The 27376-nt window shown below is 35.4% G+C and overlaps 1 long non-coding RNA gene across 2 annotated transcripts, besides 1 other annotated feature; it reads left to right on the plus strand.

Moving 5' to 3' along the window:
- Positions 302-371: a silencer, noted in NCBI's record as "silent region_2802". NCBI's record gives its function as "represses an Ori minimal core promoter by ATAC-STARR-seq in GM12878 lymphoblastoid cells {active_cell/tissue: GM12878}" and the evidence as "EXISTENCE:reporter gene assay evidence [ECO:0000049][PMID:35858748]".
- Positions 3534-27376, plus strand: LOC101927573 (uncharacterized). Of its 2 annotated transcripts, none has more exons than XR_246185.4 (7): positions 3534-3616; positions 14333-14414; positions 16469-16591; positions 16791-16900; positions 17492-17538; positions 21604-21663; positions 27296-27376. It is a non-coding gene; the product is annotated as an uncharacterized LOC101927573 (long non-coding RNA). The 2 variants fall into 2 exon arrangements; XR_946305.1 differs by lacking the exon at positions 3534-3616 and adding an exon at positions 12154-12233.

A 27376-nucleotide genomic window follows, 5' to 3' on the forward strand; every position in this document is an offset into this window, starting at 1 on the left:
GTTCATCTAGGTGGTGACTATATACTACCTTACAAATGTATAAAACTGCATTACTGAACACTTAACATTTTTACCTTTCAGTGTATATGTATTACTTTGCTAGGGCTGCCATAGCAAAATACTACAGACTGGGTAGCTTAAATAATATAAATTTATTTTTTCCACAGTTCTGGAGCTAGGTGTCCAAGATCATTGTGTTGACAGGTTTGGTTTTCCCTGAGGCCTCCCGCCCTGGCTTGCAGATGGCTGACTTCTTGTTACTTCCTCATTTGGTCTTTTCTGTGCGCAGGCACATGCCTGTGTCCAAATTTCCTCTTTCTTATACACACAGCAGTCATATTGGGTTAGGAACCACCCGAACAGCCTCATTTCATTTGAATTACCTTTCTAAATAGGGAGAAAGATAATTATAAAGCCCCAAATACAGTCACATTCTAAGATACAGGGAATTAGCACTTCATTATATAAATTTTGACAGGCCACAATTCAGCCCATACTAGCATGTAATTTATAAATTAACAAGTAGGAAAAATACATACATTAAAGTAAAACTAAAAGGACAGGTAAGAAAATAAAGTCAAAAGTAAAGACTGAATTGGAGCAGCATGAAAGTTATGTGGAAAACCAAGAGTTTGTGATACCAGAGTATCTAAGAGAAAAATGTTTTTAAAAAGAAGACGTGTTCAAATGTTTCAAGTGCTCTTCCTAGATCAATTAACATGAGGACTCAGAAATGTAAATTGGCTTTAAAAAAAGAAGGCCATTATTGACTTTAGTGAGAGCTGTTTTACTGGAGTGGAAAGGATAAAGCCTTATGAGGGTGGGTTGAGTAGAGAATGGGAGGTAAAAAACAGAGTAAGAGTGAAAATGCTTCCTTTGAGAGGTTGCCCTGTAAATATAAATTAAATGGAAGTAGCTGGACGGAAATACGGGCTTGAAGAAGTGGTTATGGTTTGTTTTTGCTTTGGTTTCTTTGTTTTTAAAACTGGAAAAGACTTCTGCATGCTTGATCATTAATGAAATATGTAGAACAGTAAGGCAGAAGTTGAAGATATGGATCGGAGAGCAGATAATCAAGAGATGGCTCTAATAAAAAAATACTACAGAAGATAACAAATGTTGGTGAGGATGCAGAGAAATTGGAACCCTTCTATACTGTTTTCAGAAATGCAAAATGGCGCAGTCATTGTGGAAAACAGTATGGAGGGTCTTCAAAAACAGAACTACCATATGATCCAGCAATTAGACTTCCAAGGAAAAAATTGAGGAGCAGATTAACTACATATTTTGCCTTCATTTACCCTGCTGGTAATGAGGTGAATCTGGATTTGTGTTCATCTGGTTCTAAAGAATATTATCTTTTTTTACTTTTAGCACATAAAACAAACTATTAACATTCTAAGTCCAATAATTTTCATGTTAAAATATAGTTAATATTTATAACAAAGTATATGTAATATCAAGAAATAATTTGATTGTAAAGTCAAATGAGAATTTTCAGGATCCAAAATTGACCACGTAACGTGACCACAACTACATCTAGCATAATGCCAGATACTCAATAAATGTATGCTAAATAACCTGTGTTTAAAAAATAGAAAAAAAAAAACAAAATAAAATGTAACAGAATGGTTTAACATGGTTAATCTAAGTGTAATTTTTTTCTCCCTTTCTTTCCTCTACCCCAATTATTTAAATGAATAACCGTGTCGGGTGTTTAAGAAAATTTTTAAAAAGTGAAATAAACCATGAACACAGTTCTTCTCTGAAAATATTCTACTCCTTCCTTCTACTTAATTCAGGGAACTTTCTGCTCCACAACTCCTGACCACACTGTATGTGGTAACTGTCTACAAATTGCCCCTGAGGACTACACCCTGACAGTTTACTTAGTCACCAGCTACAGAGGTCTGAAAGCCAACTTTTTGAGCAGACATGGGAGTAATTTCATAAATATACCCAGGAGCACTACCTTACATGAAAGGATGCAATGATGAGAGAATATATACAGGCCTGAATCACATGGGGAAAAGCCACAGAACTTAGTTATTTTATTTATTATATTATATTTATTATATTGACAGCTTTGGAAGTGTGTGGGCTAGTTCTTGTAGGCAGGTTTCTCAACCTTCCTGAATAATCTGTATTTATATGGAGAACTAGGTGAAAATTATGTGAAGCTAGCAGCAATTGAAGTCATCTTTCTTGAATAATAAAGTTCATAGACCAGGAAAAGGAAGGAGGGAGGAGAGAAGAAGATAGGTTTCAAAGCTTTTCTAATTATGAAGAAAATTTGATTTGTATTTCATATATAAAAATGGTCCTTGTTATTTCTAGAACCAATCTGCTATCCTTTGAATTAACAAAAGATATGTAACAAAGAGTATCCAAATTGGAAAGCAGGAAGTCGAATTGTCTTTGCAGATGACATAATTTTATGTATTAAAAACCCTAAAAGAGTCACCAAAACATTTTAGAACTGATAAACAAATTTAACAGTGTTGCAGGATACAAAATCAACATATAAAAATCAGTAGAGTTTCTGTGCACCAACTACTCTCTAGTGTAAAAACAATCAAGAAAGCAATCCCATTTATAATAGCTACAAAAAATAATTTTTTTGGAATAAATTTGACAAAGAAAGTGAAATACCTCCACAAGGAAAAATGTAAAACACTGATGAAAAGAAATTGAAGAGGATATGAAAAAATGGAAAGACTTCCCACATTTATGGAATGGAAGAATTAATATTGTGAAAATGACCATGCCAACAGAAATGATTTGTAGAATCAATGCAGTCCCTGTCAAAATACCAATGACAGTCTTCCTCCCAGAAATAGAAAAAAAAATCCTAAAATTGATTGGAATTACAAAAGACCCTGAATAACCAAAGCAATCCTGAGCAAAAATAACAAAGCTGGAGGCATCACACTAAGTCACTTCAAAGTATTTTATAAAACTATAGTAACCAAAACAGCATGGTACTAGCATAAAAACAGGCACATAGACAGGCAGAACAGAACAGAGAATCCAGGAATAAATCCACATATTTATAGCCAATTTATTTATGACAAAGATTCCAAGAACATTGGGGAAGAAACAGTCACTTTAATAAATGGTGCTGAGAGAATGGAACATCCATATACAGAGGACTAAAACATGATTTATTTTTAAAGGTTTAATGTAATTCTCGACCCTCTCCTTCTGCCTCCCCTTCCATAAATACCCACTTTTCCCTGTGACACAATCTACCATGGGGCTTTCAACAGCATTTTTAAAATACTTTTTTAACTCTTTAAGTTGATTTTTTACTAATGCTTGTTCCACTGATTTTATATGAAGTAGTGGCAAACACCAAAATTTATATTACTGAAGTCTTGTAGTTTCAAAGAATGACTGCTGCATATCATTTGTCTGCAGGAAAGAGGAACCTAATAGAGTTTCTAATGTTGAGAATCCTTTCTAAATCGGGTTAGCTCAAGAATGTGGTCAGTCACCAATCATCATAGCGGGTGTTGCAACTTTGCCTTTTCAGAAACTTCTAGCTGCCTTCTTGTGCCTCTCTCCCACTCTCCTGGAGTTCTCCCAGAACAATATGCTGAGAACATTGATAAGGGTAAGTCACTATTAGTGGAACTGTCAACCTGAATTGTCTTCTTGCAGGACAACTTGGCTGTAGCTTTCAAAGTTAAAACTGAAAAGGCTTTTTAATCCAGCATTCTGAATATGGTACTTATTCTACAGAAGCACTTTCATTTTCTTGGGGTGGGGTGGAAGCAAGATAATATATGTGCTTGGACATTCATTGCATAATTATAATTGTAAAATAAAGTAATGAAATGAATTTCCATATAAGAAGACAAGTACAATAAATTTGATACCTTCATAAAATGAAATATTCTATAGCCATGTAAAAAGACAATTTTATAAATCTCCCTGTGGTAGTTTTAAGTGAAAAATTCAGCTGTAAAACAATGTGACTAAAGAAGAAAGAGAGATATAAACACACATACATATACACATACACAGATACATAAATCTGTTGTTATATATATTATATATAATTACTAGATGTTATTATTAAATGCACTGAATACCTTTGGAAATTAAATAGACATTAGTCATTGCTTTCAAAGAGAATAACTGGTTTATCTGGGATCAAAAGAGGGAGGAAGGGAAGCACACTATTCACTGTATTCACTTTTATATTGTTGAATTTTGATCAATGTGTATTACCTATTTAATAATTAGTAAACAAAATAATATTAAGAAAAAGTATAAATTATTAAGAGATGATCTTAATACAGCATCATCATTCCAAAGGAACTTTCATAAAGCTGAGGATTGCACAGATCTGCATATTACGCCTATCATGTAGTCACAGGTGATTCAAGGTGCATATAAGGTTGGGTAAATTGTTTAGCGCTCTTCCAAACAGGGATCATTTTATTGACCTATACACGTCAGCATTAATACCTTATTTGGTTGCACTATACACACGTTTGCATAGATGCAACTGCACATAAATATTGCATATGTATGAATACATAATGGCATATTTATGTCAATAGAAATAATACCACATAAGCTATCTCGAATGTCAAACATTCATGATTAGGCTTTTTATACACATGTGATAAAAAGAATAATCATATCACTGAAAGAGTCAAAAGAAAGATAAATTAGATACTATGACTGACTTAATCACCACCATTCATTTTATATGTTATTTCAGGACATAGTAATAAGGGCATATATTATACAAATTGTTTTTTTTACTTGGCTTTCTTGATTATGCATTCTTTACCCCATCCAGCCCAAATTCTTCCTGATAAATTTAGATTACTCCTGTGTGATTCCTTTTTGTTTTGAGATATGCTTTGGTGATTCCCAGTAGGCATAATTTTTATCCTTTTCCATCCATTTTCTATTTTCCTGTCTAAACAAATTGTATGCATCAGTAAAATACACTAAACTTCACATGTTGTTTTGAAAACAAAAAGGGAATATAAGTTTAGAATAGATGCATATTTCTGTTGAGTAGACTCTTTTATTATCATAAAATGTTTTCCTTACCTCTGGAAATATTTCTAACCATAAATATCTCCCTTTTCAATGGTGGTAGGGCAACACTGGCTTTCTTCTTGGTTAGTATTTGCTTGGCGCATTTTTAATCTTTACATTCCTTTTATCTTTGTGTTTTCTGTGTCCTTATATTTAATGGTGTTTCTTTCTTTTTTTGAGACAGAGTTTTGCTCTGTTGCCCAGGCTAGAGTGCAGTGGCACAATCTCGGCTCACTGCAAGCTCCGCCTCCCGGGTTCAAGCCATTCTCCTGACTCAGCCTCCCGAGTAGCTGGGGCTACAGGTGCCGCCACCACGCCCGCTAATTTTTTTGTGTTTTTAGTAGAGACGGGGTTTCACTGTGTTAGCCAGGGTGGTCAATGGTGTTTCTTATAATCATGGGTTAGCTAGTTTAGTTTCTTCTTTTTATAATCCAGCCTATCAATTCTTATTTTAGAGAGAGGATTTAGTCTATTTTAATTACATTACAAATATACTTTTACTTAAATCTAACATCTTATCCTTTGTTCTATATATGTTCATATGTATTATTTTTTCATAGTCTTGCCTTCTTTTGAAATAATTACAGATTTTATAAATCATCCATTTGCCCTCTAATAGTTTGCATGTTATTTATTTCTTTAGTTCAGTTTTATTTATTCCTTTTTATTAGAATATATAACAAATTAGTATTTTATCACCTCCACACCAAAGATTTTGCAACCCTTACCTACAATGTATATTAAAACCCCAAAACCATTATTGCTATTATTTTAAACAATGTCTATTTATTTATATCTGGTTATTTACCTCATAATTTTTAAATATATGCTTGCCTCATCTTTTACCAGGGGTTATATTCCTTCTGACTAAATGACTTCTTTTTGTGTTTCTTTTAATGTGAGTTACTCTGATACAAGGTACATCATAGCCAGAAGCAAAGTCTTGTTCATTTTTCATTCACTTTGAGTTCAATACATTTTTATCTGGTATGGCTCTTCCTCCAACTGAGAGGAAGGATTGGGAGATAAGAAAGAACTGCTTACAGCAGAGCAATGAAAGTAGATCTGCAAATAGCAAATTATATTTAAAGTTGGAATAGGTACTCAGTAGAGACACATTTACATTTGAGGAAGTATAAGTAGTATAGTATAAGTATAGTATACTTATAAGTATTATTTGAGGAAGTATAAGTAGAAGGCAAGAGTAATAATGAAAGGTGACAGAGGACCATGAGTATTGATTCTGGTATGTTCAGATCTGGGTCCAAAGTACAAGTTATCTACTTATAATCTTTGTGACATTAACGGGAAGACAAAACTTGTTTAAGTTTCTGTTGTCAGTCCCAAAACAAGAAAAAATGATGTTTTATATTATGAGATGGTTATGGGAATTCGATAATAATATATTTATCACTTAATAGTGATGCCTGCTATGTAATTGAAGCTTTATAAATCATAGCAATCATTAAAAAATCAAGAAATATTTAATGGACATAGCATTGTGGTTGATGCTAAAACATAATTAGATTTTCATTGGAAAGAGATCAGAAGAAATCTGGCTGTTGAAGAGCCAGCAAGAATAATGACTTGGGTTATGAAAGAGACCACCATGTTCAGGGCAGAGAAAACAGCTGACACTGCTGAATCTCTAGCCCTGACTCTGGAGGATGGTCCCTTGGAGCTTCATTATGGAGAATTTGCATGTTATGGAGAGGTGGTAATACATGAGGCAGAAAACCTGCAGAGGACTGTGTGCTAAGGTGGTTAAGCATCATTGTAGATCCTTGAGCAGGAGTGTACCCTTGACCATGTCTTACCGAGTGAGTTCTACGTGTCTGGGAGAATGTTTTCTCTAAAAAGATGGAGTAGTCCAATCTTCTAGTTCTCTGGTCCTCTGCCCATAACTCACCTCCCACTGCATTGCCAGTCACCTTAGTTGACTGAATAGCATGGACATTTCCACAGAGAATAAAATGTTTTGTTTATTTTCCCTTAGAAGATTTTTAGACCATTTTATTTCCCAGTTTTTCTTCCACAACACCTTTTCTCACTGCATAGAACTTGGGTAGAAACAGACATTCTGTCTTTCCTGCCTCCATTCCTCCTGGCCTCTTTTTTGTTTTTTTTTTTTGTTTTTTGTTTTAGTTTTTTGATACAGAGTCTCACTCTGTCACCTAGGCTGGAGTGAGGTGGTATTATCTTGGCTCACTGCAACCTCCACTCCCTGGGTTCAATTGATTCTCCTGTCTCAGCCTCCTGAGTAGTTAGGACTACAGGCCCATGCCACGATGCCCAGCTAATTTTTGTTTTTTTTTTAGTAGAGACAAGGTTTCACCATATTGGTCAGGCTGGTCTTGAACTCCTCACCTCAAGTGATCCACCCGCCTCGGCCTCCCAAAGTGCTGGGATTACAGGCGTGAGCCACTGGGCCAGGTTTCCTCCTGGCCTCTTAAAGAACAGAGGCTTCTGCCTTGTTTGTGCATGATATGTAAAAACTCTGCCACAGTTGGTATTAGAAAAACAACTTCACAAATCAAAGATTCATGGAGAAAATTATGGTTTTGGTTTTGCCAACCCAGTAGTGAGTACCTTCCATAAAATGACCATTTACTACCCATGGTGATGAGCCAAGCTTTATGGAATCAGAACATGACAATCCAAACACTTGGTTTTGGATGTGGAGTGGGATTAAAGCCCTGATTACTGCATTTAATCTTTATAATTTCTCTGCTCCTTCAGCCTCCAAGAATCTACGGAATCCTGACACGCTTAGTTCAGGTACTCTCGGGCACAGGTTCTAAGAGTGATTTCAGGTAGATTAGAGTTGGTTAACTGATTCTAAGGCATTCAATTTCTCTTCCGTTTCAATGAGTTTACTCCTTGCCATGGGGTCAGTGATTGGAAGGAACCACCAATTTCTTCTAGATCTAATTCAAGTTGATTTGCTAATATTCAGTAAATACATTGAAAAAAGTAATAGGAAGTGACTTCAGGAAGCAATGCTCTCATTGTCCATGGGGTAGAGGACAGCAGATGTGGGTAATACTGCTTTTTGGGGAGCATTTAGGAAGACCCTTTCTGAGACTTGCTGCAGTTTTCAGAGTACTGTGAGCAGGATGGTGAATGCTCTGAAAACTACTGAAAGAAGAATAATTGGAGGAAGAGGCCTCTTCAGGGAGAAAGGAAGACTGTTTTGCCAAATGACAAGAGACCCATTACCAAGTATAGACAAAGGAGTGTGAGCAGGAACAAGCTAGCTTATTCAATGTTGCTGAAAGCCAAAAGGCAAAAAGTATAGATTGATGGATGTGGTCAGTGAAGAGACAACCAGAATCAACCAGAAATGGAAAAGGGATGTAGGGAATCCCCTGAGAGAATTCAGCCAGGCTACATGGCTATTCATTTATGATGGCTTAACTGATGTTGCTACATGTAATTAGACCAAATCACCTTGGTGATCCTTTCCAACACTAAAGCACTGTTTTTAAACCAAAATATACTTTGGCACATGACAATTTCTTTTCTGTCATACCCAAGACTTCTCCTCTTCTGTTCCTTTCATTTTCTTAAAAAAATTATAAAACCTTTTTGGCACCAACTGGGATTCCTCAACCCCACTGTGGTTTTTTTTTTCAAAGTATATTCAAGTTCCCTACAGAAAGAATAACCCAATAACCCAATTAGATTATGAAAAATACACAATTTATGCACGTAATTCCCCACTGTCAGCATACTCAAACAAGTTCCCTGGGGATGAGGCCCAGGAATATGCATTATAAGAAGTTCCCTCTGAGGATTCTTATCACCACCTAAATTTGACAATTACCATCCCAGTATCTTTCTCTCAAGCATTTTCTGTACTTGTGATTTTTTACAGAAGGTCAGTCGTGTCTAATTCTTTCCTCTTAGAATGGGAAATTAAGATTCAGAGAAATAAAGTCCTGGTCTCCGAGTATATCTGGTTGGTTTTAGTTGCCTCCCATTCTTGCGCCAAACGGGCATCTCTGTTCACATGCAGGGTGCAAAGGATGCTGAGTCCCATGTTGTCTCATGGTGAGATCCTAAAACTAGAATATAAAAACTTTCATTGCCTTCTTTCCCTGAGAGAGATCATAAAGCTGCTACTGCCAAGAATAAGGAAGCTCAGTAGGACTGATATCGGTTAGGGCAGTGCCTCTCAATCTTGGCTGCACATAGGTATCAGTGAAACTTTAAAAACAAATACCTAAGTTGGGTCCTATTGCAAGATAATTAAATCAAAATCTGTAGGATTGAGGCCATATTATTTCCTTTCTAAAAAGATCCCATTCAAGCATCACAGCTCTTGTGCTCCCATAGCACTTAGTACAGAATGTTATTTTTGTACTTATCACATATTTTTGTAATCACTTATGTATTTATATCTATCTCCACCTAACTTCCCTGTGAGTGAGACAGTGTCATCACTGTAGATAGTAGGCAGCCAGGACATATGAATATTTAAAAATAAATGAAATAGTATAGCAGATCCTTGAAATTACACATGCTCTAGAATAATCTGTGGTTTGGCTGCTTCTCATCAAAGTTTACTTTGTGCCTCCTGGGAGGAAATTTCTGAAGTTGCTTTGCAAGCCTCTTTCTTTATTTGTGAAGCTAAAGAATTGCTCTAGCATATTTTAATTACAACTAAGAAGTGTTCTTTTGATCAAACATTAATAACATTTCTAAGTCATAAACAAACTAAGATTTATCACTTGTCCTAAGGTTGACACTGCCATTATTCTCAATTACTCCTGAGCCCGCACACATTATTCACTAAGTGTCCCCGGAGGAGGGAAACAAGGAGAGAGTTCTGCTGTAAGAAGGAATAAAATTCTTCCTGGAGTTACATTTTTGTATATTCAAAACATCTCCTTGGGATTTTTTTTTTTTATATCTACAGCATTCCCCAGACAAGATAATAGCATGTTCTGGTGAAAAGTCCACCCGAAAGGAGATTGTGTTAGGGAGCCAGCACACACTTGAAATTGCAAAACAAAAGTTAGTTGATCCATATTGTGGCTCTGCTCCTTATTTACAGAGAGAAGAGGGGAGTGGGAACAAGAATTGGGATCTTTCTTCACCAGGATACCAGTTGGCTTTGCCTACTGGACAGGGAGGAAGTTAGCAGTCAGCCCTCCTGGAAATACCACCCCAGGAATAGTGGAAGTGGTGGCACTGTTTCCTATAATTTTAGAGCTTGCTAATACTATCATTCTCCTAAGAAGTAATAACTTGGATGCTTATTTTGAATAATTGCAATATTGTCAGTTCCTATTTATTAAACAACTTATATATACCAGATACTTTTCTAAGTACTTTAGCACATTGGCTCATATAATCCTCATACTATTCTTGCGAGGTAACTGTTATTATCTCAGTTTTACAGGTGAAGAAACTGGCACTTAGGGAAGTTAAGGTTGTGAGTTTTTTATGGATTTGCCTACAAGTGTTTAACACATGCAACTTTGCCTGTAAAATAAAGTAATATAATTAATTTGCTTGGACATATGGTGGAAAGTACCAGGAATATATAAGATAGGAATATTGTCAGTGGATAAAACAGGTTCTACAATGACCAACAGGTGAGGACTGACCTGTGAGACAAGCCACAGATACTAAAACTGATATCTGGTGAGCCAGAAAATGTCAGATCTCCCCTCTACTCACCCAATTAGGTAAGCATTTTGATATTCAACCATTGGCTCCATGGTATCTAGTGGAGACTGGACCAATCAGAGAAGCATCCCAGGGCCTCACAAAGATTATAATGAAATTCTGCTGAGTGTTGTTCAAGTGAAAGAGAGATTTCTCCTCTGTGGGGGAGAGTGTCTATCAGATAACTAGACAGGGAATGTTCAGCCCCACAAGGCCCTTATACTCAACACAGAGAAGGAAGTTATTCTGTCATTTCCACTGTTGAGGGCCAGACATGTGTTCCCTCTCATGATCGGGGAGGAAGCACAACTTAGCTATCTAGGGTATGACAATCTCTTGGCAGTTGCATTGGGAGGGAAGTGGGTGTATCTGAAGCCCAGGTAGAGTGCCTGATCTGAGGGAAGAACCTTAACTCACTGAATGACCCATAGAATAGGACATTAATTAATGTTGCAAAAAAGAGAATTTTACCAATAGTTATTGTAAAGCCACTGGGCTGCTTTTCAAGACATTGTCTCTTTATTTTGTCCACTTATTTCCTACCTTTAGAACTTTAAAAAAAATCTCTTCTGTCTTCCCTCTAAAATCTTTCTAATGGGCAGTTATTTTTTCTTTTATTTTTCTTTACTTTCTTTCCCCTAATCTTTCCTTTCCTTCTTTCTTTCCTCCTTCCTTCCTTATTTTCTTCCCTCCCTTTCTTCTTTTTTTCTTTTTTCTTTCTTTCCTTCCTTCTTTTTCTTCCTCCTCCCCCCTTCCCTCCCCTCCCCTTCCCTTCCTTCTTGCTTTCTTTTGTTTCTCACTCTTCCTCCCTCTTATCCTTTCTTCCCTTCTCCTCTCCTTTTCTTCTCCCTCCTCCATTTCCTCCTCCCTTCCTCTTTTAATGTTACCATGTGTATTAATCTGATAGGACTGTCATAAAAAAATACCAAAGACTGAGTAAACAACAAAAATGTATTTTTCCAGAGTTTTGAAAGCTAAAAGCCAAAGATCAAAGACATTGTTAAGTCCAATTTCTCATGAGATCTCTCTCTTTGACTTGGAGATACTCACTTTTCACTGTGCCTCAGATGGCTCTTTGTATGTGAGTTCCCTAGGGTTTCTCCCTTTTTCTTATAGGTACATCAATCCCATCAGTGTCCCACACTTATGACCCTCATTTAATCTTAAGTATCTCTTTAAAGGTCTTATCTTCTAAACCAGTCATATTAGGGGTTATGGCTTCAACTATGAATTTTGAGGGCACATAATTTAGTTCATAGCACAATGTTTGAATTTTCAATTTTGGGGCTTGTGTATTTTCATCCTGTAGTTTGAACAGTTTCAAGTATTATATACATACAAGTAGCCACATATACAGTCTAAGTTGAGTATCTGCCCTTAGTTTAATTTCCCATTCATTTTTTTTCTTAAGGAAAAAGACACAATCCAGAAAGTAACTTGAGGCACCAACAAGTTAAAGCACCAATAATTTTTAGTATGAAAATGAAAAACTGGTAAGAACTGCTCTGTTCTACAAGATTAAGTGGAAGGGGGCTGAAAGGAGTACAAACCAAAAAGATGGGAATATGCTGGAGTAGGGGCAGGCACAGGATGCAGGCTGCTAAAGCAGACAGTCCTGAGCCTGAATCCTAGGTCTACCAGTTGCCAGTTTTTTGGCCAAGGGCAAGTGAATGTTCAGTCTTAATTTCCTCATTTGCAAATCAGTCACACCAATCTGCTTTGAGGAGACACTGCAAAGACACAAAAACACAGGTAACATACATGTGTGCATGTACACACATGCTAAAATGTCTGACGGGGAGTAAAATCTCAAAATAAAAATCCACAGACCACAATTTTAGAAAATATTAAAGTTCATGTAGATTCCAATGTCTTACAGACAATCTTGACACCAGGCCCGCAGGCAATATGTGTGCAAGCCCAAAGCTTCAGAGGAAACATCAGACTTTCACATTCAACATAAAATAAAATTTTCCGTGCAGACCTAGGCACTTGCTCTACATCTTATCAGGGGCCCACTAGAGTAAGGGAGCTTGGATGAATGGCCCTTTGCTTACACAAAACTGAACGCTCCTTATGAGCAAGAATCCTGTCTGTTTAGTGGATTATTGTATGCCTGGAACCTAACACAGTGCCTGAACATAGATGCTGGTGCGTATTTATTAATAACTGGATGAAGGCATATTATACTCACAAAGTACTTTACTGAGTTTTGCAGATGGACACATAAGAAGCTGTAAAATAAGACTACGGCAAAGGCCTTTCTCCATCCTAAAACTGAAATGATTCTTAGAGGTTGTTCAAAGTTGCTCTAGAATTTACTTCCCTAACAAAATATAACCCAAAGGCTTGCAATAAAAAATGACCCAGGACTCCAGACAAAAGATGTTAAAACTTTGTCCTTTCACATCCCATGATAAATGTAGCAGCAAAGATGCTTCTTAAAATAATCTTAAAAGCCCTACAGTAGAGTTGAAGAAAAAATTAGGTTAGAAAATAATTTTTGATGGATGAGAGCCACCAATTTTCCAGCAATCAGAAACAAGGTGCAGAATTTGTTCCATAATATCTGCCATTAAACTATTTCAGCCTAATATTCTTAACAGAAGACACGTGTCAGGCATAAGAAACGATTTAATACCACCAAGACATTGACCTCGGCAACGATTCTTACATGTAATATAGAAGAACAGATTACAGTTTGGAGGGATGGTTGCCTGGAGCCTAAGAGAAGTAAATTTCTGCAGCTGAAAATTGCATGTAGCTCTCCCAGGGGGACAAATCTATTTCTAATTGCAACTTTTAACATGATTTACATGACCTAAAACACACTTGTAAGAGCCAGCCATCATTTTCATGCCTTTGATTTTAGGTAATTACTTTTAGAGCTGAAAGATTTTCACTGTCTTTCATATTACTTTTGGCCATAAACAATAACGTTTGATTTTCAGCTTCCTCTCTTCTTAAGAGAAAAGAAAAGGAGGAATGTTTTCCCAAAACCAACTTTCACAGGGAAAATAATTACCCCAAGCTAATTAGAAGAGGGGATTGTTAATTAATGCAGTCTGGGCTGTGGGTGAGGTGGGAGGATGGGGTTATATCTAATGCAGTTGTGAAGTCAGAGTCACTTAAATCCACTAGTTCTATCCAAAATGATTCCCCAGGAGTGGATAGGTGCTGTCCCTCAGACCACTGCTACAGATGCCTGTCTGGTCACCTTGCTTTCAATCATGTTCACTAAATCCATCCTCTACACAACAGACTGTGATCTTTTAAATGAAATCTCAGTAACTTCCCCTGACATTTAGAACAAAATTGAAATTTCATCTCATGTTCTACATGCTCCGCACAATACAGCTAGGACTCCTTTGGCCAGGAAAACTTAAGAAACTTTCAAGGCAGAGGGTGTCAGCTTTGGATCTATGTCTATGGCCATAATTCAACAGGTTTGACCAGGACACATGACTAGCAGGATTCCCAGCAGCAACTCTTCTGACAACTTCTCTTTCTGCCCGTTTTTCACTCTGACTCTGTATCTAGAATATCTAGTATTATAAGTCTCTGATAAACTTTATTTGCATTTTCTTTCTAGTTGGAATTGCCCAAAGGCCTTGCACCAGGAGCAAATACTTTGCTCCTAAAGCAGACATTCAGATCTGGAAAATCTGAAAGAGGTATAATTTTTATTCTTGTTGTTTTTATCATTAACTTTGCCCTGTATTAACATATTATAAATTATTTTACAGTTTTACTGGTATGCTAGAGATTGCATAATGATTCCAATGAATATAAGTTAATACTTTATTGACTTCCAGACAATTCAAAATGTGTCAAACACTTTAACACTATTTCTCTTCTGACTTTAGTATTACTATTGTTACATACTTTAATTTTGTAGATATTTTAAAGCTCACAACATATTCTTTTTTGTGGTTACTGTCAATATTTATTTAGATTCATTTATATAACTTTCATCTAACTGTACTTTCCTTCATGCACATTCCATCTTTCTCCTAGGCTCTTTTTTATTCTGCTGAAAGAATACTTATCTGGTGATTTTTTGATGTTGTCATCACTGTTTTTGCTGTTTGGTTTGATTTTAGCTTACATATGCTGCTAATAAAATTTCTCTGAGTTTGACTAAAAATATTTTTGGCTTTTTAAAGGAATATATATTTTTTCTTTTGCATTTTTTCAGATAGACAATTTAAGATTAGTATTCATATCTCTTTCACTAATTAAAGACATCATTCACCTGCTTCCTCTCTTCTGCAGCTCTCATTGTGGCTCATTTGAAGGTAATACAGATTTTCTATGTCTATTTGTAAAGTTTTCTTTCTTTTGGACTTTAATCATGGTGATCTTTTGGGGATTTTTTGAGCATTTTTCCTACTTCAATGTATTATTATTGGATATGAGCCTTAATGACTTATGTCTATTTGGGGAAAATTTACTACCACTATCTCTTCTCCCTTCCCTCTCCCCTCACCTCTCTGGATTTCAATTCCATGCAAACTAGAACTTTACAATAAATCCCATATGTGCTTTATGCTCCTGTTTTGCAGTTTTATAATTTTCTCATGATGTGCATCTACCTGTGTGTTTTATGCTTAGTCTGTCTTCCAGGTCACTAGAAGGAAGTGTGCTTTCAGCTTTTCTAGCTTCCAGATCACCAGGTCTCTCTTGGTCTGTGTCTAATCTGTTAGCATATCTATTTACTGATTTTGATTTTGATAATTTTGTTTCATTTCTATTTCTATTTTATTTTACTTGTAGTTTTTGCTGTCAGCTGAAATTTACAATACTATTTATAATTTCATAAACACATTAAAGTTGGTTTTCTTTTTAAAACATCATAAGTCTAATTAGCCTATTGTTGGAGTCTCTGTTGATCTGCCTCTTTTATCTGTCACTTTTTTCCCTCATACTTTTCTTCGTACTTTGTGCTCTCATATGGGTTTCTTACTGGTTGTTTTATCTGTTAATATCCAGACATTAAGGGTGAAAACCTATAGAGATAATACAAGGCATTTACTATAACCATCTCCCTCCATAGAGAATTTACTTATGTTTTTTAAAAAGTAGTTATGCTCGCAGAACTATAAATTCCAGGTCATTTTAATCTCTACTAGGGATTGAGATGATTTAAAGGTGGACTTTATTTTATTTAAGGACTTGTCTATTTCCTCTGCTCCTTTCTCCATGGATGTATCATTATTGCAGTCACAACCAAAAGCTGAGGTATTTATCAGGGCTTTTCCTTTTGGTATCAAATCATCCCTACAAAAGCATCAAAAGTTTTATTCAGCTTCTCAGCCACTGACTTAGGAACTGGAATGTAGCAGTTTCAAATCCATGACATCATGGCATTTTCTCATCCTGTAGATCTCAACCACATAACTCCTCACTTAGCAGGTCCTTCAATACATTCCAATGTTTTCTCTCTTTCTCTTTCATCTATTTATAATTTTCTTCAAATTATTTAGTAATTATAAGAGAGCATATTAGTCACAAGCAAAGAATTAAACCATTGTTAGAAAAGAATATTTTGTTACTAATTTTATTAAATATAGTCATATGCCTATTTTACTACTGTATTTCCCAGCTTACTGAAAGCTGTGTGTTTTGACTAATGAAATGTAAATAGAAGATATTTGTATAATTTACAGAAAAGCTTTTTCCAAGAGTTGAGTCAGTACATTTTGTCCTACTTTTTTATGCTGTCTAGAACATGGGCATGATTCCCTTCATTTTAAAAATCATCTTGAATCCTGAGGCACATTTGAAATGCAAGATATGTGAGGTGAATGGCAGAAAAGAAAAATACCAGAAGACTGAATTTCCAATAAATGTGAGTCTGTGCTACTGGCACTTAACTTCCATCTTCTTAAGGCTAATGATATTTCCATACTTTGTTATAAGCAGCTGAGTAACACTTATACCTGAATACAATTTCATAAAACTATTCATACTGAACTTAATATGTTATTCTTATTCTGGGATAAACAAATTTTTTTTTTTTTTTTTTTTTTTTTTTTTTTTTACATCAGCAAAGCAACCGAATTTCAATTTACAATAGTGGAACTCAGGACATATTTTTTCCACCAAAACATCCAACCAAGTATGAGTGAGTGGCCTGGCCTTAACACATTGTTTGTTTGTAAGTATGCTTATGCAAACAGGTTGTTTATTATTATATTTTATCTAGCATATTACTTGCTATTTTCTGTTATTATTTTTCCACTACCCTTGTCTTTGGTATCTTCTCTTCATCTTTTTTCTGTCATATTATGTTTGCTTAGGGTTCTATAAGTATTCCTGCTACTAATGATATGAGTTGTATGACAGCTAACAGCTCACGTTATTTACAGTCTTTGCTTTTTAGAATAAAACAGGAAACCATCAAGTGCAGTGATTTACTCAGCTGCAGGATACAAGGCACTCCAGTCCTATTAAGGAAGAATAACTGTTATGATTATTTAATGAGCTACACAATGCCTGTTATTAGCTATTTATTGATGTATGAATACTTGGGATCTACTGCTTCTAGTGCCAGTGAGAACAACTCATTTTTCAATCAAACCTAATTGACAATGCTAGTATATTGAGAAAAATGTAATGCTTCTCATTAGATTTATTGGATGGCACCATTCTTGCCAAATCTCATATTGACATGTAATCTAAATTAATGTCAAGGTGATAGATTTGTAGTTGTAAGATCAAGCCTTACCTCTAATGTTCTAATCTACAGGAACAACAATTTGAAGGAAAGTCGATATGTTGATAATATAATATAGAGTAAGTACAATATATATAAATTGATATATATAGTAATTTGTGTGTGTGTGTGTGTGTGTGTGTGTGTGTGTGTGTATATGAATTATACTTTGGAGGAATCAGAAACCTGAAGAGTGTTGCTTCTTGGGAGTCTGTCTCTTGTGGTCTTGGAGTAGAAACCAGATACAAGCTAGAAAAAGTCTAACTTCTCTAAATGCCTGCATGTAGTCTTTACTGCAGGATTATCAAATGAGTAAATTAAAAATGGAACAAGGTGTTAGAGATGAGTGTCTAAGCCATCCATGCATGATAACTAAGATTTAAATGACACATTTATCAGTAAACATAATCCTTCAACTCATAATATCCTTAATTTTGAATTTAGTGAGAATTATATTCTATATTGATAGGTAAATACCACTGAGGAAAACTCAAGAGTAGTCACATTCTGGCATCATCACCAAAGGTACTGGGATCTTCATCCCTCTGCTAGATATGGGTTACAAATACTCAGTCTTCCAAAAAAAGATTCACTGAGAAGATCTGTACTACTTTTGGGGGAAACACCACAGATATTAATATGGCTTGCAGATGCTATTTTCCTTGAGCCTTGTTTATTGCATGTTTTGGGCTGTTTTCGTTGTTGCTGTTGTTGTTTTTGCTCGTTGTTTTTAATATTATTGCTCTTTTTTGATGCCTACTGTGCATTAAAATAAATTATTTAACCTATTTTTGGCTTAATTTTCTCTCTGTAAAATACAAGATGATAATAGTATCAATTTCATAGGGTTATGAAAGTTCAATAAGCGAAAGCGTGTCATTTAGTTAAAACAGAGCCTGAAAGAGAGAAAGTAAAATACGAGAGTGAATGATCACTGTCATTATCATTATCATTCTGATTATAGCCATAATCATCTCCAGCAGCACTATTTATCATTTATCTATCTATTTATCTATTATATATTAAATCTCTGTTAAACTCTACATATTTGTTCATCCTCCTCAGTGATACTCAGCCTTGAGTATAGTTGAATTACAGCAGTGGAGAACTTGTTGCCTCAGCAAAGCAGTCCTGACATGTGTCTTTCTGACTAGGCAGCAAAGGCTTATTCTGTTTGCATGTATTGAGTGAATGAAAGTAACTGCTACTCTGTTCACACATGTTTGGACTATGAAATGGTCATGAGCTAAAGGAAGCCATATATGCTAAAAAATATATACGTGTTAAAAGAAAACCTGTAGACAAAATAAATGTAACAGGGTTCACTTGAGCATTGAAAGGTTCATGAATCGGGCAACACTCAAAACCAGAAAAGGTTCAGAGAGCTCCACTTTAGCAGCTTGAGCAGCAGGCTTTTATAGACTGAATGCAGAATCAAAGTATGAACATCACTTGATTGACTAAAGTGAGACATTTGCTTTATTTGTGTATGGTCCAGTGGAAAGCCTCTAGTAATATAACTAATAGCTGTTTGTGAATGGCTGAAGCTCAGTTTAATTCATTTGTTCATTTTTTCAAAATCAATGCATTATAAGGAATGCCTTTAAGTTAAATATCAGTTTATTTGTGTAAGAACTGTGGGTACAGAAACAACCCCAGGCTAATGGTTTTCTACTTATTTTGTTTTAACCAAAGGTAGAGATAAAAAAAGAGGGGAAAAGAGAGAGAGCGAGCTTGAGAGAGGCCAGCTGTGGCAACCCCCTAACTGGTTTCTCTTTTTCCTTGAAAAATATTTATTCTAATCCTGAACTTATCCTGCCATTTCTCCTCATCCATTGCTCAATGTCTCCATTAGCCTAATTCTTCAGTCATCTACTTTAATGCAAAGAAGATAATAAATACAATAGGGTTACCTGACCACTACAATAGCCCCTATATTTATTTATAGGCTTCTCTTCAGTCCCACCTACTTAAGCTAATAGTCAAATCTTTTTTCTTGAAACCACAAAGGTACCTTATTTAGCCACCATGTTTTTACTCTGCATAAGTGAAGACAAATCACATGCACAGTCTGCATCTCATATATATATATACACACATGTATTTTAAGACAGAGTCTCACTCTGTTGCCCAGGCTGGAGTGCAGTGGTGTGACCGCGGCTCACTGCAACCTCCACCTCCTGGGTTCAAACGATTCTCCTGCCTCAGCCTCCCGAATAGCTGGCATTACGGGCACGTGCCACCACACCTGGCTAATATTTTTTTTTGTATTTTTAGTAGAGACGGGGGTTTCACCATGTCAGTCAGGCTTGTCTCGAACTCCTGACCTCGTGATCTGACTGCCTCGGCCTCCAAAGTGCTGAGATTACAGGTGTGAGCCACCGCACCAGGCCTGCATCTCATATTTTTATCACCAGAACCCTAAACTCAATTCAGATGCCTTCAGCTGGACACATCATTTGCCCACTTGAGGCAATATAGATTTTGATTTAAGAAAAATACAGAAGCCTAAAGATGTAATTGTCTGAAGAGTAGAAGACTCTACCTACCCATTTGAACCTTAGAGAAAACATGTTTCAGATTAAGCATGAAACAGTCCATGTAAATGATTTTGACTCATAGAGCAATCCATTCATCTCCATAAGCATTTAATTTAAGATGTAATTTTAACATAGATTAGAAATTTATATTTAAAGATGCTTCTTGGAGACACCCCAGTTGGATTTGAATTGGGTTTTACATGACATGTCATTTAAATTTCTCTGCTTATTTAACTTCCAACACTTGGCAGATGCATTCCCAGGAAGCATTACACCTTCTCCAAATGCCTCAGCCCTTGGAAGAGAGAAAGCACTAGAATTTTAAGCCAAGCTTGGGCACCCACACAAGACAACATGGCATCCAACCTGAAAATGTGTCAGAAGGAGTGAAAGAATAATGTATCTTAATGTATCAGAATACCACATATTCAACAAAATATAGGTCACTGGTGGTTGCATGCACAGGGCAGGGTGGATATCAATCATTTACTAATTAATGTTCAGTTCTGCCTCATCCCTTACAAAATGGACTACGGAGACCAAGAGAGCTCCATGACTCAGAATATAATAATTTAGCCTTTTGTTCCTTCACTGGCTAATAGAAAAGATGAAAAGGTAAAAAATCTAGGTAAGATGTGTGGACTTTGGTGTGCTCCTGTTTAGAAGCCTGTGTGCAGAGCACAAAACTGCAGTGCCAGGTATCTACACAACATCTCGTGACTCGAGAGATAAATCAATGTTATGTAAACGACTATTATGTCCACTACACTGTGCTTAGGACTTTGAATTTATTCAAGTCTCTATTTTTGAATGGTATATAGTCTAGGTAAGGAGGCAAGACTAAATTGTGCAAAAACAACCAGGATTCAGAGTACAATGCAACAGGTTGAAACTGTCAGAAAACGTTGCCAACAACACCATTCTAAACAAGATTAGTCAGCCATCTTATGTGGATGTAGGAGTTTGAAGAAGGACTGAATTCAAGTATAAAGAACCTGTTTATCTGATAACCCGGTGCACTGGAGTAAATCCCAGTCTCCAACCAGCAATAGTCTTATTTACATGTCAAAGTTTTCTAGAAAGAAGGATGCATGCATTCATTTCTACATTCTTTTAATGACCTGTGTTTGTTGCTGGTGTTATATGTGCTGAGTCTGAGTTTTTTCATAGTGCTCAGCTGTCTAACAGGAGTTGTTCCTGTAGAGTCTTCTCTCCACACCTTTAGCTGTGCTAGTCTTCTCACCTGGAGTGCTTTCTCCTTTCATTCCACCAATCCTACTTTTTCTTAGTCTGCAACCTGCAAGGCCACTTTTAATTGTTTCTTCAGTGGAGCTTTCCAATGATAGCAGTCTTTAGTTTTCATTTGTTTTGGATTTTAATCTTAACTACCCTCACTAGGTCTTTAAAATTCACTTTTTACCGGGTGACTTAATTTCACTCATGATCACAAAGGAAGCATTTTCTTTTCTTTTTATTTTGCACAATCTTGTGTCAAGTTTTGGCCAATAGAACAGGTGTGGAAGGAAGAGACATATTTCTAGCCCTGTTTCTAATTAAACAATAAAGCACCTTCATTTTATGGTTCTTTCCTCTGTTCTTTTCCAGGTAACTTCAGAAGGCCTTATAAAGAATGTGCAGTAGGAAGAAGAAAATCTGGAACCCTGAGTGAGTACTTTTGGAAGTTCTACCCAGGAGATCTCTGAAACTAGCAACATCCAAGTTAAATTTTGTCCCAATGAGTAATAAACTCTTCTTTTTTAAACCATTGAAATTCTTCAGTATTTTAAATAATAATAGCAAGTATTAATTATCCTCAGTGATAGACTATTTTCTCAACTTACTCATTATATAAGTTAATGTATGAAAAGCACTTAGAACCATGCTTAGCACATCCTAGGTGCTTAATAATGCCAGGTGTTATTATAATTATTACTATTATTACTAGTGCAACACAGTCAACTAATATTTAGTGAGTGCTCACTGCGTACTAAGCATGCTCTGGGTATTGAAGAAAAAATAGTAAATAATCACTACATTTGTTTTTGAGTTCACAGTCTAGTAAAAATAACAATAGCAATAAAATATCTAACCTTGCCTAATGACTGTCACTGTTCTACTTTTTTCTGTTTATTAACTCTTCTATTTTTTAAGATAACTTAATAATTTTATCCCCATTTTGCAGTTGGGGAATCTGAGGAAAAAAGAGATTATACATAATGTCCAACGTTACAAAGCTGGTAATTGGCAGGCCAGGATTTAAACCTAGTGATTCTAATTTCCGTGTTTATGGTTTTATATTTTATGCCATGCTGCCCATGAGAATTAAGTGAATTAATGGAGCTGTGTGCAGAATGGGATGAAGACACTTCATTAAGCAGTGACACTGGAACAAAGTTTGACAGATGATTAGATGTTTACCAGTTGCACTATAATGTTAAGGACATGAAAAATAAATTCTTTCCAATTGATGCACCAATTGATTAACTGATTAACGGTGTTAATTTTATAAAGCATTGGGCTGGGTAGTCTAAAAGGTCTAAATTAGTGATGACTCTTGGTTTTAAAATGGAGAAATTCAACTCAAACAGTACTTAAGAAAAGGAGAAAAACTTTTATGAGGTCATATGTGAGTCTCCATCCAGATACCTGCCTGAAATAATTGGTAAAATGCCTCTGTCTGATTTAATTCTAATAAAGTTCTTTTTAAAATATTGAGTGTAAAAGAAATGGACACCAATTACTCAAGGCTCATAGTTTATGGGACTATTAACGTCTATAGAAAGAAGACTAACGCAGAGACATTTTCGCCATCCTATTCTTCCTCCTGGACAAACAGGAAGACTCGTTTATTTAGCCTTATTTTCACATTGTTGAAGTCAAATGATTGACCTCTAGTCAATGAGTGGTAGGAAGAAATGGTCTAAGTCACAAATAGTCCTGGCTCTTAAAAATATTTATTTCTAAGTCTTCCAATTCTTTCACTCTCAGGTGCAGTGACTTTAGAAGCCATATATTTTATGTGACCAACTTATAAGCAGGAGTGTGACCCAACCCAAACTGGACTTCCCTTGACCTATAAATATGTTTATATGTTTTAAGGTAGTAAAATGCCAGTGTTTACTTCTGGCTGCAGTGTATCCTATCTATCCTAGTTAATTCAACCATCTGAGTAATAAGGTCTCAGAGACAACTCTCAATGGACTGACTCATCTACGCCAAACTCTGAATGAAATACTATAGCCAAGAATTTGGAATAATCTCATTGAAGAGGCCCAGCTTGGAACTGAATAAAAATAAGCCAGATAGAATATTGGAGGATTCAGAATGTGAAGGAGCAAAGATAATTAAAAAAATATGTCCACTATATATCATAGCCTTTATTTGTCTTGCAGTAGGTAACACATACTAAACGTATCTGACTTTCCTAGACCATTGTTAATGTACATCTGCATTCTACCAATAACTGGAAAGACAATCTTTCCGATAATAAACCTGTGGTCTATTTTCATAACATAGATCCATTCATCATTTTAGCTCAATAAGCAAATATTTTCTTTTGCCTGAAATATTTCTTATCACCCACATCATATTTAATGTCTAGGAGTTAATGCTGCCCAATTCAGGCATTTAATTCAAATATAGAAGGGCTTTACATACATTTCTTATTTTTTGCTAACACTGTCATTGGACTTTGTTTTTATTATTAATACATTTGACTCAAGAAAAATTAAATTTCCTTCTTTGAAAATCCCATGACAGTAGAAAGTTAAATTGAAGGGATTATGATTTGTATTGTATTTGAGGAAATCTTATCTGCCTTAATCCTAATGTGGGTCCAGTTTTTATTACAGAAAATTCTTTGCATTTAGGAAGTAGGCAGTTAATGTTAGAATTAATATGCACAGAGAAATCCAGTTCTTCTTTGTACTTGGGTTGTATAGTACAATTGAAGAAATCTTCAAAGGCATGTGATTTTTCTTACTTTAAGTTTCAGACTTCTGGGAAAACTCAACTTTCAGAATTAGGCACCATCTGAAAGATTAGCTCCAGCCATAATATAGAATATTCTTCTTTTCTTAAGCTGTTATTTTCTTTATTCTCCAAAACTGTATTTGGCCTCATACTAGAAATGGACACTGTAGGCTGTCAAGCATTTTAGAGTAAGAGGCAAAGAAAACAAGAGTTGCACATCTACATCTGAATTCCCAGAGCAGTAATAGAAGCAATAAGTCAATTTGTAGGAATTCAGGAAAAAAAATCTCAATTGGGATCAAGATGCTCTAAAGAACTTCATTAAATAAAGGGGACTTAAAATGGCATGAAACATGTGTTCGTCCAAAGGGGACGAAAATAAAAGGTAGTAAGTTACTCTTGTTTGAAGCATTGAAGCATATGCTGGGACACCAGATGTCAGGACTGCTTGAGAAAACACAGGAATATAGGAAAAGCACAACTAATATATTTGGAGTAATAAAAGAAGGAATGCAAATACCTCAATAATTGCACATTTATTATTATTATTATTATTTTTAATACTGGAAAATGTATTCTCAATATTCTCATCCCAAGATTCTCTGTGACTATTACTTAACATGCATTAAATAGTAATAATTTATCATAGTAGTAGTCAGCTCTTTACATGAAACAGCACATTTAGTACTCATAATAAGTCTATGAAGTAGGAACTATTACCTGTATGTATGTATGTATGTATGTATGTATGTATGTATGTATGCATTTAATGTATTCAGAAACTTTTCAAATTAATGGAAACAAAAAATGGCTAAAATAAACACTCATATTCACTAACTGCTCTTTCTTTCCTTACACATATGTAAACACGCATACCCTACATACACACACACACACACACACACAATCCATTTACCAAACCATTTGAAGGTAGAGTGCATCCATAGTAACACTCCCAAATGTGCTTCTTAATTCTAAGAACACTGGAGAATCCATTTCCCAATATCAAGGATATTTGCCTAATAAACCACACCACCACTGATATACATGAAAACATAAGCATTCATTCAACTAATTTTTAAAATAGCATATCCATTTTTCATCTCCAATTATCTGAAAAAGCGTTCTCATTGTTTCTTTTTAAATGCAGGCTTCACTAAAAATTCATAAAATTACTTTGGCTGTTACGTCTCATTCATCTTCCCACCCAGTGCAGACTAGACCATATTTCTCATGATATTGAATCTTTTGATGACTCTGGGTCAGTCATCCTACTAAATAGCCCATGTTCTTCATTTGATGACAATTTCATAATGATGATATTTAGGTTGCATATCGTGCATTTTTGGGAAATACAGTAAGCATTCTACGAAAGAAGCTCAAAGCTCAAAAGGCATCTTTTGATGCCTAAAGGAGTGTTTATTTTAATTATTTCTTTTGTTTCTAGTGGTTTGAAAACAAATTTTCTATGATTCCCTCACTACTGTTGCCTTTTTCTTTCCTTCCCTTGTCTCTGACACCCCATAACATGCTTACTTTATTTATCCTGTACTGTAGAAGTATGCATAGTAACTAATAGGAGTTCTCTGTTTAAGAGCTGGAAATGAGTGCCCAGAAGTTCCAATAACTGGGTTTAACATAGCCCAACTCATACAACTAGTATTTTTGGAGTAATAAAAGAAGGAATGCAAGCTACACTGACCAACTTCATTACCTTCTGCAAGGTTGGCTTCTTTAGAAGAGGGAGCAGAGATGAAAAGGTGAATCACTTCATAGCAGGGCTTAAGATAGTAAAATCGGCCAGGCGTGGTGGCTCACGCCTGTAACCCCAGCACTTTGGGAGGCCAAGACGGGCGGATCATGAGGTCAGGAGATCGAGACCATCCTGGCTAACACAGTGAAACCCTGTCTCTACTAAAAACACAAAAAATTAGCCAGGCGTGGTGGCGGGTGCCTGTAGTCCCAGCTACACGGGAGGCTGAGGCAGGAGAATGGCTTGAACCCAGGAGGCAGAGCTTGCAGTGAGCCCAGATCGCACCACTGCACTCCAGCCTAGGATGACAGAGTGAGACTCTGTCTCAAAAAAAAAAAAAAAAAAAAAAAAGATAGTTAAAATCAATTCCAGCTGATTTAAATTTTATTCACTAAACTACAAAACATTCACAGACATGTAAATGAATATTTTTGTAAATACTAACAGGGATTTCTAAAATTACATGCAATTAAATAAGCCAGAAGAAAATTTTAAAAAATTTAACTGCATAAAACAGTAAAAATCTCATCCATTTCAAAATACATAAACTAAATTAAAAGGCTACTAAAGCTAAGGAGAATCTTTGCCAAAATATTACAGACAAAATTTAATATTATTCTGTACAGGACTTATATTTCATCAAGATTTATACTAAAACCCTGATAGGTAAGTAGGAATAAAGAATAATGAGATTTACAGAAAAAAGTATATGTGACCGAAAAATATATGTCAAAATGTTAAGTTTTGTGTTAAAGACATTAAAATGAATAAATGAAATATTTTATCTAGCAAATACTCAAGGATTAAAAAAATTGCTTGCAACTGTGCAACAGAATTGGCATTTTCATATACTCATGATGGGAATTTAAATGTTCTTACTGCTCTCTAAAAATAAATTAAAAATATTTTGTCAATAGGCTTAACAAAATCTATATCATTTAACTTATTATTTCCATTTATTGGAATATGTTCAAAGACTCAAAAAATCTACCACAGAATCATAAACAAATATTTTGTGTAACTCAAAATCAAAGCAAGTAATGGCTGAACAAATTCTAGTGTAGCTCCAAGATGGCATCAAATTGCACTATTTAGATATTTAAAAGAAAGTATTTATTGAATTTTAAAAGTTCATAACTTATTAAATATAAATAAATATACGATATAAATATAGTGTAATAGTAATTATAAATTATGTACATTATTTTATTAAGTAAATATTCTAGGTTTAACTCTAAAAGTACGCTTTTGAAGTTTCATTTTGTTTTTTCTTTGTTGTATCTTCCAAATTATTGCTAATAATCGTGTCTGCATTACATGTGAAATTTGTTTTTCAAGGATAAATAAACATAGAAAAATAATTAGGGGCTGCTGTCAAATGATGTTAGCAGTTGGAGAGTGACTTCTTGCCAAAAGAGGTGTTGACAAACACAAGTAAGGTGACATCATTTGGTCAAGCACTTTGGTTACTGAAAGAGGATCATGTGCATTAGACCTCTCTTTTCACTTCTCTGCTCTTTAACTGTCTGTTATTTGACTGGGTCTCAACCATATGCATGTGCTCACTTGCAGGTTAGCCTGGTGGGAAAGTCAGCCTCAGCTGAAGCCTCAACAGGCAGCTTGGATGCTTCTTGACATCTACATTAAGGTGAG

This window comes from Homo sapiens, chromosome 10, assembly GCF_000001405.40.
Source record: "Homo sapiens chromosome 10, GRCh38.p14 Primary Assembly".
NCBI lineage: Eukaryota > Metazoa > Chordata > Mammalia > Primates > Hominidae > Homo > Homo sapiens.